Here is a 14,705-nt window from a genome sequence, read left to right as displayed (position 1 = left end):
GTGGGCAAACAGTGGGTTAAGTCAGAATCCAGTTCTAACATCAGAGCCTCAGTTCTCAACCACCATGCAATACTGCTCCCCATCAGAGACTCACAATATTTTATTTATTTATTTTTTAGAGACAGGGTCTCGCTCTGTCACCAAGGCTGGAGTGCGGTGGCGTGATCATGGCTCACTGCAGCCTCAAACTCCTGGGCTCAAGCAATCTTACCACCTCAGCCGCTCGAGTAGCTGGGACTACAGGTGGATGCCACCATGCACGGCTAATTTTCTTTCTTTTTTTTGTAGAGATGGTATCTTGCTATGTTGCCCAGGCAAGTCTTAAACTCCTGGCCTCAAGCAATCCTCCCACCACAGCCTCCCAAACTGTTAGGATACAGGCGTGAGCCCACCATGCCCCAGTATTTTATTTTTAAAACAAACAAAAGTCTGTACTCAACTTCATTAGTAATCACAGAAATGCAATCTAAAACCATCGGCTATCACACTCTACACGATCAAAATGCTAAAGTGAACATATCTGAGCACATGGAGCAAATGAAACTCATCTCTGCTGGTGGGAGGGTAAATCAGTGCAGCCACTTGGAAAATAGTTCCGCATTATCTCGTAAAGTTGAAGGAGCACACTTTTTTTTTTTTTTTTTTTTGAGATGGAGTCTCACTCTGTCGCCCAGGCTGGAATGCAGTGGTGCGATCTCAACTCACTGCATCCTCTGCCTCCCAGGTTCAGTGATTCTCCTGCCTCAGCCTCCAGAGCAGCTGGGATTGCGCCACCGAGTGCGCCACCACACCCGGCTAATTTTTTGTATTTTTAGTTGAGACGGGGTTTCACTGTGTTAGCCAGGATGGTCTTGATCTCTTGACCTCATGATCCACCCACTTCGGTCTCCCAAAGTGCTGGGATTACAGGTGTGAACCACCACGGCCCGGCCCAAGGAGCACACATTCTAAGATGCAGCAGTTCCAATGTACATAGACCTCAGGAGATATGTACAAAAATGTCCATAGCAACTGGAAACAGTACAAATGTCCACCAGCAACAGAATCAATAAAATGTGGTATAAACAAACAATGGAATACTATATAGCAATGAAAAAGGATGTACTACCGCTACACACAAACATATGGATGAATCTTTAAACCCAATGGTGTGTAAGAGAAGCAAGATACACAAAATTACTCTGTGTTCAAAATCAGGAAAAGCAAAACTATAGTGTTTAAGAATACATAATTACATACTAAAATTATAATGAAAAATACATGCTTTCAAAATCAAACTAGAGGATTGTCCAACAAACCTGCCTTCAGAGTATTTTACTCTGGGGACAAAACTTTGTTTGACTATTTACTATTGATTAGGCCCAGACTCTAAAGACTGAAGCTCATTACAGAGTATAAAATGCTCATTATTTCTGGCCAACTGAGATGCAAAGCATTTCTGCCTGCAGCAAAGATATCTTCAAAGTTTATGGTTTTATTTTCCTGTAGGACAATAGCCAATGTGTAACTAATGGTAGGCCCTTAACCATTTCTGTAGCTAAATGTATCCAGTACTCTCTTTTTTCCTTTTTTTTTTTTTATTTTTGAGACGGAGTCTTGCTCTGTTGCCCAGGCTGGAGTGCAGTGGTGTAGTCTCAGCTCACTGCAACCTCCACTTCCCGGGTTCAAGCAATTGTCCTGCCTCAGCTTCCCAAGTAACTGGGACTACAGGTGTGCACCACCACACCTGGCTAATTTTTGTATTTTTAGTAGAGACAGGGTTTCACCATGCTGGCCAGGCTGGTCTTGAACTCCAGACCTCAGGTGATCTGCCCGCTTCGGCCTCCCAAAGTGCTGGGGTTACAGATATGAGCCACCTCGCCCGGCCCCAGCACTTTCTTTCACAGACTAGCATTTACCTCTGCCTCTCATATTCCCCAGTTTTAATCTCTAGCTGGTTCCCTCATAATTAAATAAAGATATGATAAGTACTTACTACATGGGAGTTATATTTTTAACACTGTGAACACTGGGCTCTTGACAGGCATACAGTAATACAATGTATGGTATACCTGCCTGGTGAAACAGGTGTTTATTGTATATGTTACTATGTGTCATATTTCACACATAAAAAAAGTTTTAAGGACACAAAATTGTATACAGAAAATCAATATGTAAGTAAATAAAAGAAGAGGCTCCAGTAAAGTGACTAAAGTTTTCCATACTTGAACACTGCTAGAGCTCATGACAAAAGGCCAGGATTCCTAACATGTAACCTTTATCCCATAGCATGGACCCATCAAAAGGCAACTCTTCAAATGCCTTTAATGATGACACAACTACTCACCATAGATGTGTAATATACTGGCCCCTTTCCTCACTTCCACACATTCTCAGTACTAGACAATGGCCAAACTTTTCTGCCAAACTTCACTTTATGACCCTTCTCCGGCAACAGTGTAGAAAGCAGACAAGTGTGCCTTTAAAGTATTGATAACATTGACAACATAACTGGGTGTGATGGCGTGTGCCTGTAATCCCAGCAACCTGGGAGTCTTAGGCCAGGGTTCACTTAAACCCAGGAGTTCAAGGCTGCAGTGAGCTGTGATCACGTGACTACACTCCAGCCTGGGCAGCATAGCAAGACCCTCTCTCTACAAAAAAAATAACAATTAGCTGGGCATGGTGCTATATGCCTGTAGTACCAGCTACTCAGGAGGTTGACGGGAGAGGACCACTTGTGCCCAAGAGTTCGAGGCTGCAGTGACCTATGATCGTGCCACTGTACTCCAGCCTGGGCAATCTTGTCTCAAAAATAATAATGATGATAATAAGAGTGATATCATTTATCCCATGCCAAGCACTTGGCATGTTCCTTGCAACCACCTGTCAAAGTAGGGCCTACTGTCCCATTTTTACAAATGAGGAAACTGAGGCTCAAAGAGCCCTGCCTGGCCCCAGAATGACAGAAGCTAGGATCTGGGCCCTTACCATCTCTTCCTACCTCACTGTCTCACCACTTAGCAAGACTGAAGACAGACTGCACTTATCCAAAGCAGACACCCCAGAGGAGATCAGACACTTGTTTTTAAAATGCTCTGGCTGGTAAAAAGCCCTAGTCTGCAGCATATCCCTCCAAGGAAGCATATCCTCATTCTTTTGTAAGATGGCCTGACCTTTAGAAATAACTGGAGTCAGCTGGGCACAGTGGCTCACACCTGTAATCCCAGCACCTTGGGAGGCCAAGGCAGGTGGATCACCTGAGGTCAGGAGTTCGAGACCAGCCGAGCCAATATGGCAAAACCCTGTGTCTACTAAAAATACAAAAATTAGCCAGGCGTGGTGGCATGTGCCTATAGTCCTAGCTACTCAGAAGGCTGAGGCAGAAGAATCGCTTCAACCCGGGAGGCAGAGGTTGCAGTGAGCCAAGATCACGCCACTGCACTCCAGCCTGGGCGACAGAGCGAGACTCTATCTCAAAAATAAAATAAAACTAAAATTAAAAATAAATAAATAAAGTAACTGGAGTCATTTGGTGCTAATCTGGGAAGCAAAGCAACAAGCTACATACAGGAACAGGAATGCTATTTTGGATACAAAACAAAAGGTGTGGCTCTAAACACCCTATTTTCCAAAACACTTCAGGAGGTTGGGACAACTTAGCAATGGTTTTATGTGTGGTTTAAAGCTCCCAGGCGCAGTGGCTCATGCCTGTAGTAGTCCCAGAACTTTGGGAGGCCGAGGTGGGCGGATCACTTAAGTCCAGGAGTTTAAGACAACATAGTGAGACCCTGTCTCTGATTAAAAAAAAAAAAAAAAAAAAAAAGCTCCCCTGGGAGGCCAGGTGAGGTGGCTCACCCCTATAATCCCAGCACTTTAGGAGGCTGAGGCGGGAGGATAACTTGAATCCAGGAGTTTGAGACCAGCCTGGGCAACATAGCAAGATAGTGTCTCTGCAAAAAAAAGAAAAATTAGCTGGGCATGGTGGTGCACACCTGTGGTCCCAGCTACTCGGAGTCTGAGGTGGGAGAATGGCTTGATCCCAGAAGATTCAGGCTGCACTGAGCCGTGAACACACCACCGCACTCCAGCCCGGATGACGGAGCGAAACCCTGTCTCAAAAATAAAAATAGGCTGGGCTCGGTGTCTCACGCCTGTAATCCCAGCACTTTGGGAGGCCGAGGCGGGTGGATCACAAGGTCAGGAGATCAAGATCATCCTGGCTAACACGGCGAAACCCCATCTCTACTAAAAATACAAAAACTATTAGCCGGGCGTGGTGGCGGGCGCCTGTAGTCCCAGCTACTCACGAGGCTGAGGCAGCAGAATGGCGTGAACCCGGGAGGCGGAGGTTGCAGTGAGCCGAGATTGCGCCACTGCACTCCAGCCTGGGTGATAAACCAAGGCTCCGTCTCAAAAAAATAAAAATAAAAATAAAGCTCCCCTGGGGTTCTGAGGTACAGCCTGATCTGGCACCCTCTGACTTAGGGGTTGGTGAAGCTTTTTCAGACTTTTAGGTGGTGGCTCTCAAACTTCAGAGAGCACCACAGAAACCCAGGGAATGTGTCTAACATGCTGATTCCTGGGCCCCACTCCCAGAGACGCTGATTCTGGCAGCCAGGGGAGAAGGCCTGTGAGTCTGCATTTTCAGTCAACCCTACAGGTGACTGTGCTACAGCTGTCTGGAGGCCCATATCCGACAGACTGTAATTGCTTTCATTAAAACCAAGAGTCTCCAGGCTTTGCATTCACACCCTACAGGTCTCTGCTAAAGCTGCAAAAGCAGCTAGCAGGTCGGGGTCGATCCCTTCCCCCAGCTCCTGCAGAGGACCATTAGCTCACTGCAGCACCGCGAGAAGGGTAAAAGATGGTTATCTCCTGAGATGCGGATGGCTTGGCCAGGGTGGTGAGTTTTGTCACTAGGATATTAACACCTCTAACTGGGGGAGGGAAGAAGAGGAGGTGGCTTAGGCTGAGTGTGGAGTGTTCTGGAAGCCTTCCAGAAAGGGAAGCAGGGATGACTGGGCTTGTCTCCCCTCCTCCAAAACCCACAGGGTGAAGCAATGAGTGAACAGCCAGGGAGCTGGGGTTGCACATTGGGAGCAAGTGTCACTGATAAAAGACTAGAGCCTCTACATGAAAAGCCGCAGAGGCTGAAGAGCCGACATTCCAGTTCTGTGAACCATTCCGGGTTTTCCCCATAATCTAAGACCATCTTCCCCCTCCCCCACTTTCCAAGCCGAGAGCTCTGAAACACAGACCTAAGGGTCTTACCCTTTGCAGGGTCTGAGCCAAAGGGAAGCTCCAGGGCGTGAGGCCAGGCCCTAGCATATAAAGAGTCAACTGTGACAGGCCTCTGGAAGTTGGAGGGGAAGGAGGATTAGAGTGCCCGCCCTAGGCATCCCCTGCTAGCCAAAGGGAAGCATGCCATTTCCTCAGGCCACCAACTTCAAACTGCAGGTCAACAGTCCAGTTGCAAAACCCATTCACAGTAAGTCTGCAACCAGCATCTTTTTGGTTTTTTTTTGAGATGGAGTCTTGCTCTGTCGCCAGGCTGGAGTGCAGTGGCCCGATCTCGACTCACTGCAACCTCTGCCTCCCGAGTTCAAGCGGTTCTTCTGTCTCAGCCTCCCAAGTAGCTGGGATTACAGGCACACGCCACCACGCCCAGCTAATTTTTGTATTTTTAGTAGAGATGGGGTTTCACCATGTTGGCCAGGATGGTCTCGATCTCTTGACCTCATGATCCGCCCACCTCAGCCTCTCAAAGTGCTGGGATTACAGGCATGAGCCACCGCGCCTGGTCCTTTTTTTTTTTGGAAACAGGGTCTCACTCGGTTTCCCAGGCTGGAATGCAGTGGTGCAATTACGGCTCACTATAACCTCAAACCTCTGGGCTCAGGTGATCCTCCCACTTCAGCCTCCTGAATAGCTAGGACCACAGGCGTGTGCTATCATGCCTGGCTAGTTTTTGTATTTTTTTTTTTTTTTTTTTTTTTTTGTAGAAACAGTTTTGCTATGTTGCCCAGGCTAGTCTCAAACTCCTGGGCTCAAGCAATCCTCCCACCTCAGTCTCCCAAAGTGTTGGGAATACAGTCCTCAAAGGGGCTGTATTATGTGAGGGTGTATAGGGGCCTGCAACCAGCATCTTTAGAAAAGATCTGAATGTGGCCGGGTGCGGTGGCTCACACCTGTAATCTTAGCACTTTGGGAGGCCAAGGCGGGCACATCACCTGAGGTCAGGTGTTCAAGACCAGCCTGGCCAACATGGTGAAACCCTGTCTCTACCAAAAATACAAAAATTGGCCGGGGGTGGTGGTGTGCACCTGTAATCCCAGCTACTCCACTTGGGAGGCTAAGGCAGGAGAATCACTTGAACCCTGGAGGCGGAGCACCACTGCACTCCAGCCTGAGCAACAGAGTGAGACTCTGTCTCAAAAAAAAAAAAAAAGATCTGAACGCCCTCTAAGTAGGAAGTACTCATTCATGAAAGCTTCCATTCTGTTTTCCCTCTACATAAATGTATGCCTGTCAGATGGGTCAAGACGTACAATGTATATTTTACTGTAGGCTGAAGTCAGAGTTTGAAAGCCACCATTTTGGGCATGGCTGGTTCTGCTGTCTGTGGGCTGCCTGTGCTTCTGAAATCCACCTGACCCACCACTGCAGCCCACTCTATGCACGGCCCAGCCAAGCTCTTAAAGGAGCGCCCTGCTGAGGTGGCCAGGTGGAGGGTAGGAAGGGATGTGGAGCCCAGGGAGTGGGTGCTGAGACCACCGGAAAGCCAGGCTCCCCCGGCAATCTCTATCCCCAGTTCCTCAGCCCAGAGCAACAATGGGCAGCTCACTGATCCCTTCCTGTTCCAGACACGAAGACAGCTGCCTGCCTAAACCCTCCCTGGCAGGACCTCCTAGGCCAGGCTGGCTGGGCAGCCCCTGCAGTTCTGTGTGCGCATCCCCCATGGTTGCTGCTCACCGCAGTGCCCTGCCCCCGCATGCCTAAAGCCACACAGGCTGCTTGCCTGTGGCTCTGCCAAGCAGGAAACTGAGGCCTGTTCTCTGGCCACAGGTGCCATGGAGGGCACACGATGCTGGGGACAGTTGATCCCCTGCCCACTCTCCATGCCCACCCCTGCCACAGCCAGATGCCACTGACCATCAGGGAGGCGGGGGGTGTGAGCCAGGGGGTGCAGGGCTGGCGGGTGAAGCTGGCTGGGGTTTTTACACAGGAAGGAAGAGCAGGCTGATGTGGGGGAGGAGGCCAAGGAAGGGCGGAAATGACTGCAATGTCAGCACCCAGGCGCAGACCAGGGGAGGCCAGGTGCTCCCCGCCCCCCAGTTTTGACCTTTGTGCTAAGATGAGACATGCAGTCTTCACCGATACCCACGATATCCAGAAAAAAGAACAACAGTCAGAGAGAGTGGGGGCTGATTTAGCACACAGGCCCCCACAGAATACAGTCCCTTCAAGAAGAAAATGCTATGCGTGCTGGTGGTCTGGGGGTACACAGAGAAGAGGCATCTGGGAACCCCAAGCTCTTCCCCAGGCCCACCCTGGAGGGCAGGGGTAGTGGAGGCACTGGCCTCATTCACATCTGCCAGGCTTGCGTCTGCCAGGCTGGCAGGAAGGGGACCAAACAGAGGGCAGCAGGGATGCCGCAGGGCAGGGCAAGAGCTCACGTTACTGATCTGGTCCTGGGTCTTCTTGATTCTCTGGAGCTCGGGCGTGTCTGCCACTACGCTGAAACCTTTGCCCTTGTTCTTCTCAAACTCCTCCTTGTAGCGCACCTGCAGGAGGGGAGGAAGAGGGATTGGAGTCAGGCCAGGAGCCGAAAGGGCCTCGGCTTGGGGCCCCTCTGAGGCAGCAACCAGTCAGGAGACAGGGACAGGGAGTCAGCAGAAAGACCCTGATCAGAAGTCCCCAACTCAAAGCAGAGGCCTCAGCCAAAAGGTGTTAGACTCGTAATAATAAGCCACTACCAAGTCTTTGGTGCACAGTGAATGGCAGGCACAGAGTCCAGGGCCTTACATGAACCATCTCATTTAGATCCCACCATACATATAGCCACGCAATTAACAGCTCCAATTTACGGATCAGGAAACGGAGCCACAGAAAGGCAAAGTCCCCTGCCCAAGGTCACAGAGCTTAGCAGTCAATGTCCGGCACTACCAGAGTGCAAACCCTCATCTGCCTGACTCTTGACCCTTCACTCCCTGCCCATCCTGTCTGGAAGCTTATAGGAAAAAGGTTCTTTCCAGGGCTCCCAGGGTGGCCCCAGCCCTCATGTTAGCCAGGATGTGGCCCTGCCCACTACGCCTGGGGGAGCTTTTCAGCAACCAGCTGAGTGAGGGCTGTGCCAAAGGACAGAGTTGGTGCCCAGAAAGGAGGGTGGTGAGACAGCCCCAGGGAAGGCTCCATCAGTGCGCCTTTGACAGGCCCCGCGGATTCTGGGAGCCTGCCGGGATGGCTTCAGAGGCCACCGCCATAGGAGGGGAGGAAAGCAGCGGGGGTCAGACAGCATCTCAGCAGGTCTCCAAGCTCCAGGGAAGAACCCTTCCACCCCACCACAGTACTAGAGGGACTCAAGTCAGACATCAGAAAGGACTTCCCTGGCACGAAAGGAATTGAAATATGAGGAACAGCTTGTCCTCCCCTGAGGGTTTTGAAGAACAGAATGAGGCTGAGAAAACTCATGGAACAGGAAACTATTCCTTGGCTTCCAGAGACTTCACTGTCCACCTCATCAGCCATCTGTTCCAGACCCCACCAGCTGCTTGGATTTCCTCCACGGGGGCTGCACTGTCCTGGACACAGGTCAGCCCAGGACACAAACCCAGGCAGTTCCCTGGCAGGGAATCATCTGGCAGCAGCACCGAGCTGTGCTTGGACTGGAGCGACTGCGCATGCGCATGCAGCCACGGCCACACCTGTCAGGTCCTCTGCACATGCCTGTGGGGGTCAGAGTCCTTGTTTGTCTCCTGAAGCCCCCAGTCACTCATCCATGTGGTTCCCTCTCCTTCTCTGTTCTGATCCAGACAAGAAGGGCTTGGATGTGCTGTTCCCCATTAGTTCAGAAGTGAATGCAGTGGATAGAGGCACCAACCCACCCCAAGAGTCCAGAACCTGCCTAGCACCAGCTCTTCCTCAGTCCTGGAAGCCCTGGGCCAGCACGGTGACTCTTAGTGGGAGGCCCTTTGGGAAGCGGGCATCGGGGAAGGTAGGGCACTCAGAGGCAGAGAAATGTAGCTCCAGATACAGAAGCCCTGCATCTCAAGCCCCTGGCCTCGGTTTCTTCATCTGTAAAAGAGTTGTGACAGAAATCAGGTATAATATGGGGAGGGGGCTTCTTATCACCAAGTCTGGGCACAAAGCCAGGCGGAGCTAGCACTAACGCAGGCTCAGTCTCCCACTTCTGAGTGATCTTGGGCCAACGACTTCACATCTCAAGACTCAGTTCCCACATCTGTAAAATGGGGACCATAACGCCAGTCACTCCAACCCACGATACAGACAGTGGCTCTAAAGCAGCAGCGCACTGTGGAGGGCCAGTGTGAAAGTGCTCTGTCAGCAATGAAGTGCTGAACGAGTGCCAGTCCCCCACTCCGTCCCCTGCTTCCTGGCTTTGCAAGGGTCAGGCCCCTAATCCAGGGGAATAATCGCCATGGCGACGCTGCAATGACATCAGCAGGTTCCCAGGATCGGGAACTGCTTCTGCCTCCCCCTCCCTGTTGGGGAAGGATCATTCATTTCACTGCTAACATAGGAGGCCCACAGAGGGTAGGGGTGAGGGGTAGGGGCTGAGAAGGGAGGGAGCCTGGGATCAGCACCACCTTGCTGTGTGTTTCTAAGCAAGTCAGTTCCCCTCTCTGGGTCCCCTGAAGGGAGCTGGCTAGCTGATCTCTAAAATCCCTCCCATTTGGAGTCTGTGACCATTTTAAAGCACCTTCAGACCCTGACTATGGATAATCAAGACAGGGAGGCTCTTTGAAAGGTCTTTGGGTATGGAAGGGGTGGCAGAAGTGAAGGGTGGGGGGCCAGGGGTGTAGGGAGGGCCCAGCCCAGAGCCCCTCTTCAGGGCTCCCTTCTTGCCCTGGCAGGAGTGCTTGCCCCTGTTGTCTAGGATGGCTCACCAGGGTGCTGTGGGGGTCCCTGTGGAGGAAGGGACCTGCCCAAGGTCACAACCCAGTTGTCGCTCAGGCCAGGATGCAACTCAGCGCTTCGGTCAGAGGACCCCACTTCTGGGAGATGCCTGGGCTCCCAGAGGACCCCACTCCTGGGAGATACCTGGGCTCCCATTTTGGAAACTCTGCTGTCAGGCCCAGGACTGACTGACATCTGAGGCTCCTGACACCCAAACAACCACCATCCGTGAAACTCTAATTTTTCTGTCAGTTCTTAGTTGTTCTCCCTGGATCTATCTTGCTTCTCATCCCAGCAGACAGGAGGTGCAGATCAACATTTGTTGGATCATGAATGAATTGAATGCAGACACGTAATCTCCAAACAAAGCAGCATAATTGGGAAAACAACTGCCTTGATGACCCAATATAAGAAGAAGGATCATTACTTAAAAACAAAAATTATGCCAGGCACGGTGGCTCACGCCTGTAATCCCACCACTTTGGGAGGCAGAGGTGGGTGGATCACCTGAGGTCAGGAGTTCATGACCAGCCTAACATGCTGAAACCCCATCTCTACTAAAAAAAATACAAAAAAAGTTAGCCGGGCGTGGTGGGCGTAATCCCAGCTACTTGGGAGGCTGAGGCAGGAGAATTCCTTGAACCTGGGAGCCGGAGGTTGCAGTGAGCTGAGATGGTGACACTGTACTCCAGGCTGGGCGACAGAGTAAAACTCCGTCTAAAAAAAAAACACAAAAATTAGGCTGGACTTAAAAAACAAAATGGCTCATGTCTGTAATCCCAGCAGTCTAGGAGGCCAAGACAGGTGGATCACTCGAGCCCAGGAGTTCGAGACCAGCCTGGGAACATAGTACCCCATCTCTATTTAAAAAAAAAAAAAATTAATAAAAATCTCTAAAAAAATACAAAATTTATTGAGCGAAATACAATTTCCACTATTATGTGCCTACCATGTGTTGGGCCAACATACTTTGTAACCCATCCCCTTCTAACAAAAAAGAAACACTAGTTTTTAAAATTTAGGCAGGGCGCGGTGGCTGACACCTGTAATCCCAGCACTTTGGGAGGCTGAGGTGGGCAGATCACTTGAGGTCAGGAGTTTGAAACAAGCCTGGGCAACATGACGAAACCCTGTCTCTACTAAAAATACAAAAATTAGCCGGGCATGGTGATGCACGCCTGTAGTCCCAGCTATTCAGGAGGTGGAGGCGAGAAAATCGCTTGAGTCTGGGAAGTCAAGGCTGCAATGAGCCAAGATCACGCCACTGCATTCCAGCCTGGGAGACAGAGAGAGACCCTGTCTCAAAAAAATACAAATTTAAAAAAAAAATTAGACACACACAGATGGAGAGGAGAGCTGATGGAAAGGGCCGGGGCTGGAAGTCATGGTCAAAAGGTTGCTGTGTGTATTTCCCAGCTTCTTCATGTCCAAGTTCCATTTCCTCTCCTTTCCGGGAGAACAGTAGTAGCAAACACTGAATGCTGACTCCACGTCAGGAATCTTTAAATGCTTAACATATCCTCCTATCTCACACCACCCTCTGGAGAGAGGTAATCCACATTATTCAGACGAAGGCACTGTGCACAGAGGTTAAGCAACTTGCCCAAGGTCACACAGCTGGTGGCAGCAGATGCGAGATTCAATCTCAGGCCAGCTAGTTCGGGTAAGAGTGATACTCTACCACCCGTGCTGCTTACAAGATCCGAGGAGGATAGAAACCCCCCTGTAATTTCCCATGACCCCATCAAGGTGAGTTGATGAAGGAAAAAATGGAAGAACAGTCTACTGGCACTTGGCACTTCTGCCTGGGCTCAGGGCCATACAGACACCTCCAGCTCAGTCCCACCCCAAAGCCACTGCCTCTGCTCAGCCTGGGGGTGGGATAGGAGCAGCAAGTGAGAAGGGGGGCTGGGGGTCCAGCTGCCAGCCCCCTGCCTCAGCCAGGCCTGGGCAGGACCACCGAGAGGGTCATTTCTGGACAGTTCTGTGGTTACCTCCTCCACAGGGGAGGCTCCAGGTGTCCCAGACACCCAAAGTGCCATTTTGGAGACCAATATAGAGATGGGAAAATAAATAAAGCTGAAATAGCCTGGGCAGCTTCCCAGAGACAGGGAAGGGCAAGGCAGGCCCAGAAGGGGCATGGAGAGAAGCCAGCTGACCCCGTGGGGTGAAGCTGGGTGAGCAGAAGAGGCTCCCCCTTCCCTTCCTGCTAGCCGCAGGCAGCTCTCTCCAGCTCTGCCCCCACGGCAGCCACAGGAACCAGAACCCGTCACTGCTCCAGCCTGGCCGGCTCAGCCCTTCCAAGCCTCAAAGCATCAGGCCCAGCCCCCAGCTTGAGGCAACTGGGTTTGCTGTCCTCATTTTACTGGTGAGGAAGCAAAGCTATGAGAGGAAAGACAGTCTGAGGCCAGTCTCAGACCACACAGCTGGTGGGCGGTGGGAAGGGAGACAGAACAGGCCTGCAAAAAGGGCAGTACCCTTTCCTCCCCTGCCTATCCTGCCCTCAGCCCCCAACCCCCGAGGACCCCCACCTCAGGGGAACAGAGCCGTGCCCTTAGTGCAAAGCCCTACCCTAATGTGGCACCCCTCAGAGCATACAAACAGGGTCGGTACACTCCTGCCCATGGACCCATCTCTAAGCTTCTTAAAGTGGGGCCAAAAGTCCTTATCAGAATCACGGGGGAGTCAAAATGCAGATTCTTGGGCCTCACCCAGAGCTGCCAAGCAGAAGTCCCTTGGGTGGGGCCTAGGAATCTGCATTCCAACAAGCCCATCCTACTTGCTGCTGACTGGTGCATCCTGCAGGGTGGGAGCACAGGGCTCGGTGCCTGTGCCATCAGCACTGTTCAGAGCAACGGGCTCCAGGGCCAGGTCATGGGACTTGATGTCTGCCCCTGTCCCTGGGCTCTGCACAAGCAGGGCAGCCTCTGTAAACCTCAGTTTCCCTATCTGTATGATGGGGATAATAAGAGCCCCTCTTTCATCAGGTGGCTGTAAGGATTAAACAAAGTCAGGCATACACGCATACATGCGTGCATGCTTGCACACACACACACACACATACACGCGTGCATGCGTGCACACGCACACACACACACATACACACACGGACACGCTCTGGCCCTCAGTGAGGCCCTAATGAAGAGTGACCGCCATTTTCATCTCCCAAGAGGCCCCCCCGGGAACCCAGCAGGCTATGACCCTGGGAAGCAGGGGGCACAGGCCAGGGACAGGAGCCCCCAAACCCAGAGCGTGGTGCTGGCTTCCCCTGTGGGGGGCAGAAGCAGCCCCTGCCAACAGCATGCCCTGCCCACTTGCTGCCCATCCTGGGCAGGGGGAACAACGTGGAGGTGCTTCCTCCTCAAACCCCACCCCTCGGGGATAGGGTGCCGGGGCAAAAAGAGCTGCAGCCACGCTTTTGTGGAACTGACAAAGGCTGAGGGGTTTGAATTTCTCCCCTGAGAAGGGTGTGTGTGTGTGTGTGTGTGTGTGTGTGTGTGTGTGTGTCTCCAAAGACCTGCTATCTGCTCCCAGCACCTCTTCTCCGAGGTCCTTCTGAGCCCCTCCACCTCTGGCCCCCATGGCCCTTCCACAGGGCAGGGAATTGAAGGCAGGAGTCAGGGCCTGGCTAGAATCTGTAAAATATGGCCAGGCAGGCTGTGGTGTTCCCTGCTTCCTAGTAACTTCAGCTTCTGTGCCGCAGGTGGGTGGGTGGCAGGTGTGAGCTGCTGCTCTCTTCCTCTGTGAGCCTCAGGCCCTACCAGGGCTGTGCAGCATCAAGGGCCCCAGACTTGGGAGTGACAAGACCAGGGCCCAAATCCTGGATCCGCATTCACTCACTCGGTTCCCCTATCTGTAAGACAGAGACGCTGGGTCTTTTACCTTCTCCCAGAACCCAGTCAAGGATAAACAGGGGAACTAACTAAAGGCACTTGCTGAACTACACAATTTCTTGCTTTTCCTTTTTTTAGAGACAGGGTCTCACCCCATCACCCAGGCTGGAGTGTAGTGGTGCGATCATGGCTCACTGCAGCCTCCAACTCCTCAGCTCAAGTGATACTCCCGCCTCAAACTCCCAAGTAGCTACGACCACAGGTGCACACCACCATCTCTGCTCGTTTTTTTTTTTAGGGACCAGGTATTGCTATGTTGCCCCAGCTGGTCTCGAACTCCTGGGCTCAAGTGATCCTCTTACCTTGGCCTCCCAGAGCACAGGGATTACAGGCGTGAGCCATGGCTCCCAGCCCTAAACTACAAAACTTCTCAACAGCATAAGGAACTATCATGTTTATTATTAAGGTAGAGACTGTTTCTTGGGGAGTGGATAGTCCCTGGGTTAGACAAACCTACATTCAAAGCTGCCAGTGTCTATTTCCTCTTCTCTGAAGTGAAGTGATGCTACAGCTGCACAGGGCTGGGTGAGGATTAAACGAGCTCACACGCCGGGAGCACTGAGCCCTCCATCGTCAGCTGTGAATATTATTATTGCCTCTCCTACCCGCAGGACCTCAGCTAGTCCCTCAAAGTCGCTGGGCCTCAGTCGCCTCATCTGTAACAATGGGGAAGATAGCACCTTCCTCACAGGG

At 51.6% G+C, this 14,705-nt stretch overlaps 1 protein-coding gene across 4 annotated transcripts in view, besides 9 other annotated features; it reads right to left on the bottom strand.

The window, feature by feature from the left end:
• LASP1 (LIM and SH3 protein 1) overlaps positions 1–14,705 on the bottom strand; it is a 51,713-nt gene that overhangs the window by 15,593 nt on the left and 21,415 nt on the right. For 3 of the 4 annotated variants that reach the window (NM_006148.4, NM_001271608.2, XM_047435965.1), the window contains one exon: positions 7,659–7,766. In NM_006148.4, coding sequence (NP_006139.1) covers positions 7,659–7,766 — 108 coding nt within the window. Of the gene's footprint in view, positions 1–7,658; positions 7,767–9,106; positions 9,277–14,705 lie in introns of all 4 variants that reach the window. The other variant, NR_073384.2, reaches the window with a different exon arrangement.
• Positions 4,189–4,814: an enhancer, noted in NCBI's record as "H3K27ac-H3K4me1 hESC enhancer chr17:37057617-37058242 (GRCh37/hg19 assembly coordinates)". NCBI's record gives its function as "activates a minimal SCP1, AML or CMV promoter by ChIP-STARR-seq in naive H9 embryonic stem cells {active_cell/tissue: H9 hESC(naive)}" and the evidence as "EXISTENCE:reporter gene assay evidence [ECO:0000049][PMID:30033119]".
• Positions 6,445–6,964: an enhancer, noted in NCBI's record as "H3K4me1 hESC enhancer chr17:37055467-37055986 (GRCh37/hg19 assembly coordinates)". NCBI's record gives its function as "activates a minimal SCP1, AML or CMV promoter by ChIP-STARR-seq in naive H9 embryonic stem cells {active_cell/tissue: H9 hESC(naive)}" and the evidence as "EXISTENCE:reporter gene assay evidence [ECO:0000049][PMID:30033119]".
• Positions 6,965–7,486: an enhancer, noted in NCBI's record as "H3K4me1 hESC enhancer chr17:37054945-37055466 (GRCh37/hg19 assembly coordinates)". NCBI's record gives its function as "activates a minimal SCP1, AML or CMV promoter by ChIP-STARR-seq in naive H9 embryonic stem cells {active_cell/tissue: H9 hESC(naive)}" and the evidence as "EXISTENCE:reporter gene assay evidence [ECO:0000049][PMID:30033119]".
• Positions 6,985–7,304: an enhancer, noted in NCBI's record as "active region_12085". NCBI's record gives its function as "activates an Ori minimal core promoter by ATAC-STARR-seq in GM12878 lymphoblastoid cells {active_cell/tissue: GM12878}" and the evidence as "EXISTENCE:reporter gene assay evidence [ECO:0000049][PMID:35858748]".
• Positions 7,715–7,824: an enhancer, noted in NCBI's record as "active region_12084". NCBI's record gives its function as "activates an Ori minimal core promoter by ATAC-STARR-seq in GM12878 lymphoblastoid cells {active_cell/tissue: GM12878}" and the evidence as "EXISTENCE:reporter gene assay evidence [ECO:0000049][PMID:35858748]".
• Positions 9,053–9,574: an enhancer, noted in NCBI's record as "H3K27ac-H3K4me1 hESC enhancer chr17:37052857-37053378 (GRCh37/hg19 assembly coordinates)". NCBI's record gives its function as "activates a minimal SCP1, AML or CMV promoter by ChIP-STARR-seq in naive H9 embryonic stem cells {active_cell/tissue: H9 hESC(naive)}" and the evidence as "EXISTENCE:reporter gene assay evidence [ECO:0000049][PMID:30033119]".
• Positions 9,575–10,096: an enhancer, noted in NCBI's record as "H3K27ac-H3K4me1 hESC enhancer chr17:37052335-37052856 (GRCh37/hg19 assembly coordinates)". NCBI's record gives its function as "activates a minimal SCP1, AML or CMV promoter by ChIP-STARR-seq in primed H9 embryonic stem cells {active_cell/tissue: H9 hESC(primed)}" and the evidence as "EXISTENCE:reporter gene assay evidence [ECO:0000049][PMID:30033119]".
• Positions 10,097–10,618: an enhancer, noted in NCBI's record as "H3K4me1 hESC enhancer chr17:37051813-37052334 (GRCh37/hg19 assembly coordinates)". NCBI's record gives its function as "activates a minimal SCP1, AML or CMV promoter by ChIP-STARR-seq in primed H9 embryonic stem cells {active_cell/tissue: H9 hESC(primed)}" and the evidence as "EXISTENCE:reporter gene assay evidence [ECO:0000049][PMID:30033119]".
• Positions 12,705–13,278: an enhancer, noted in NCBI's record as "H3K4me1 hESC enhancer chr17:37049153-37049726 (GRCh37/hg19 assembly coordinates)". NCBI's record gives its function as "activates a minimal SCP1, AML or CMV promoter by ChIP-STARR-seq in primed H9 embryonic stem cells {active_cell/tissue: H9 hESC(primed)}" and the evidence as "EXISTENCE:reporter gene assay evidence [ECO:0000049][PMID:30033119]".

Source organism: Homo sapiens, chromosome 17, assembly GCF_000001405.40.
Source record: "Homo sapiens chromosome 17, GRCh38.p14 Primary Assembly".
Taxonomy (NCBI): domain Eukaryota; kingdom Metazoa; phylum Chordata; class Mammalia; order Primates; family Hominidae; genus Homo; species Homo sapiens.
The sequence above is the reverse complement of the archived record's forward strand: the minus strand, read 5'-3'. Positions and strand labels throughout refer to the sequence as shown.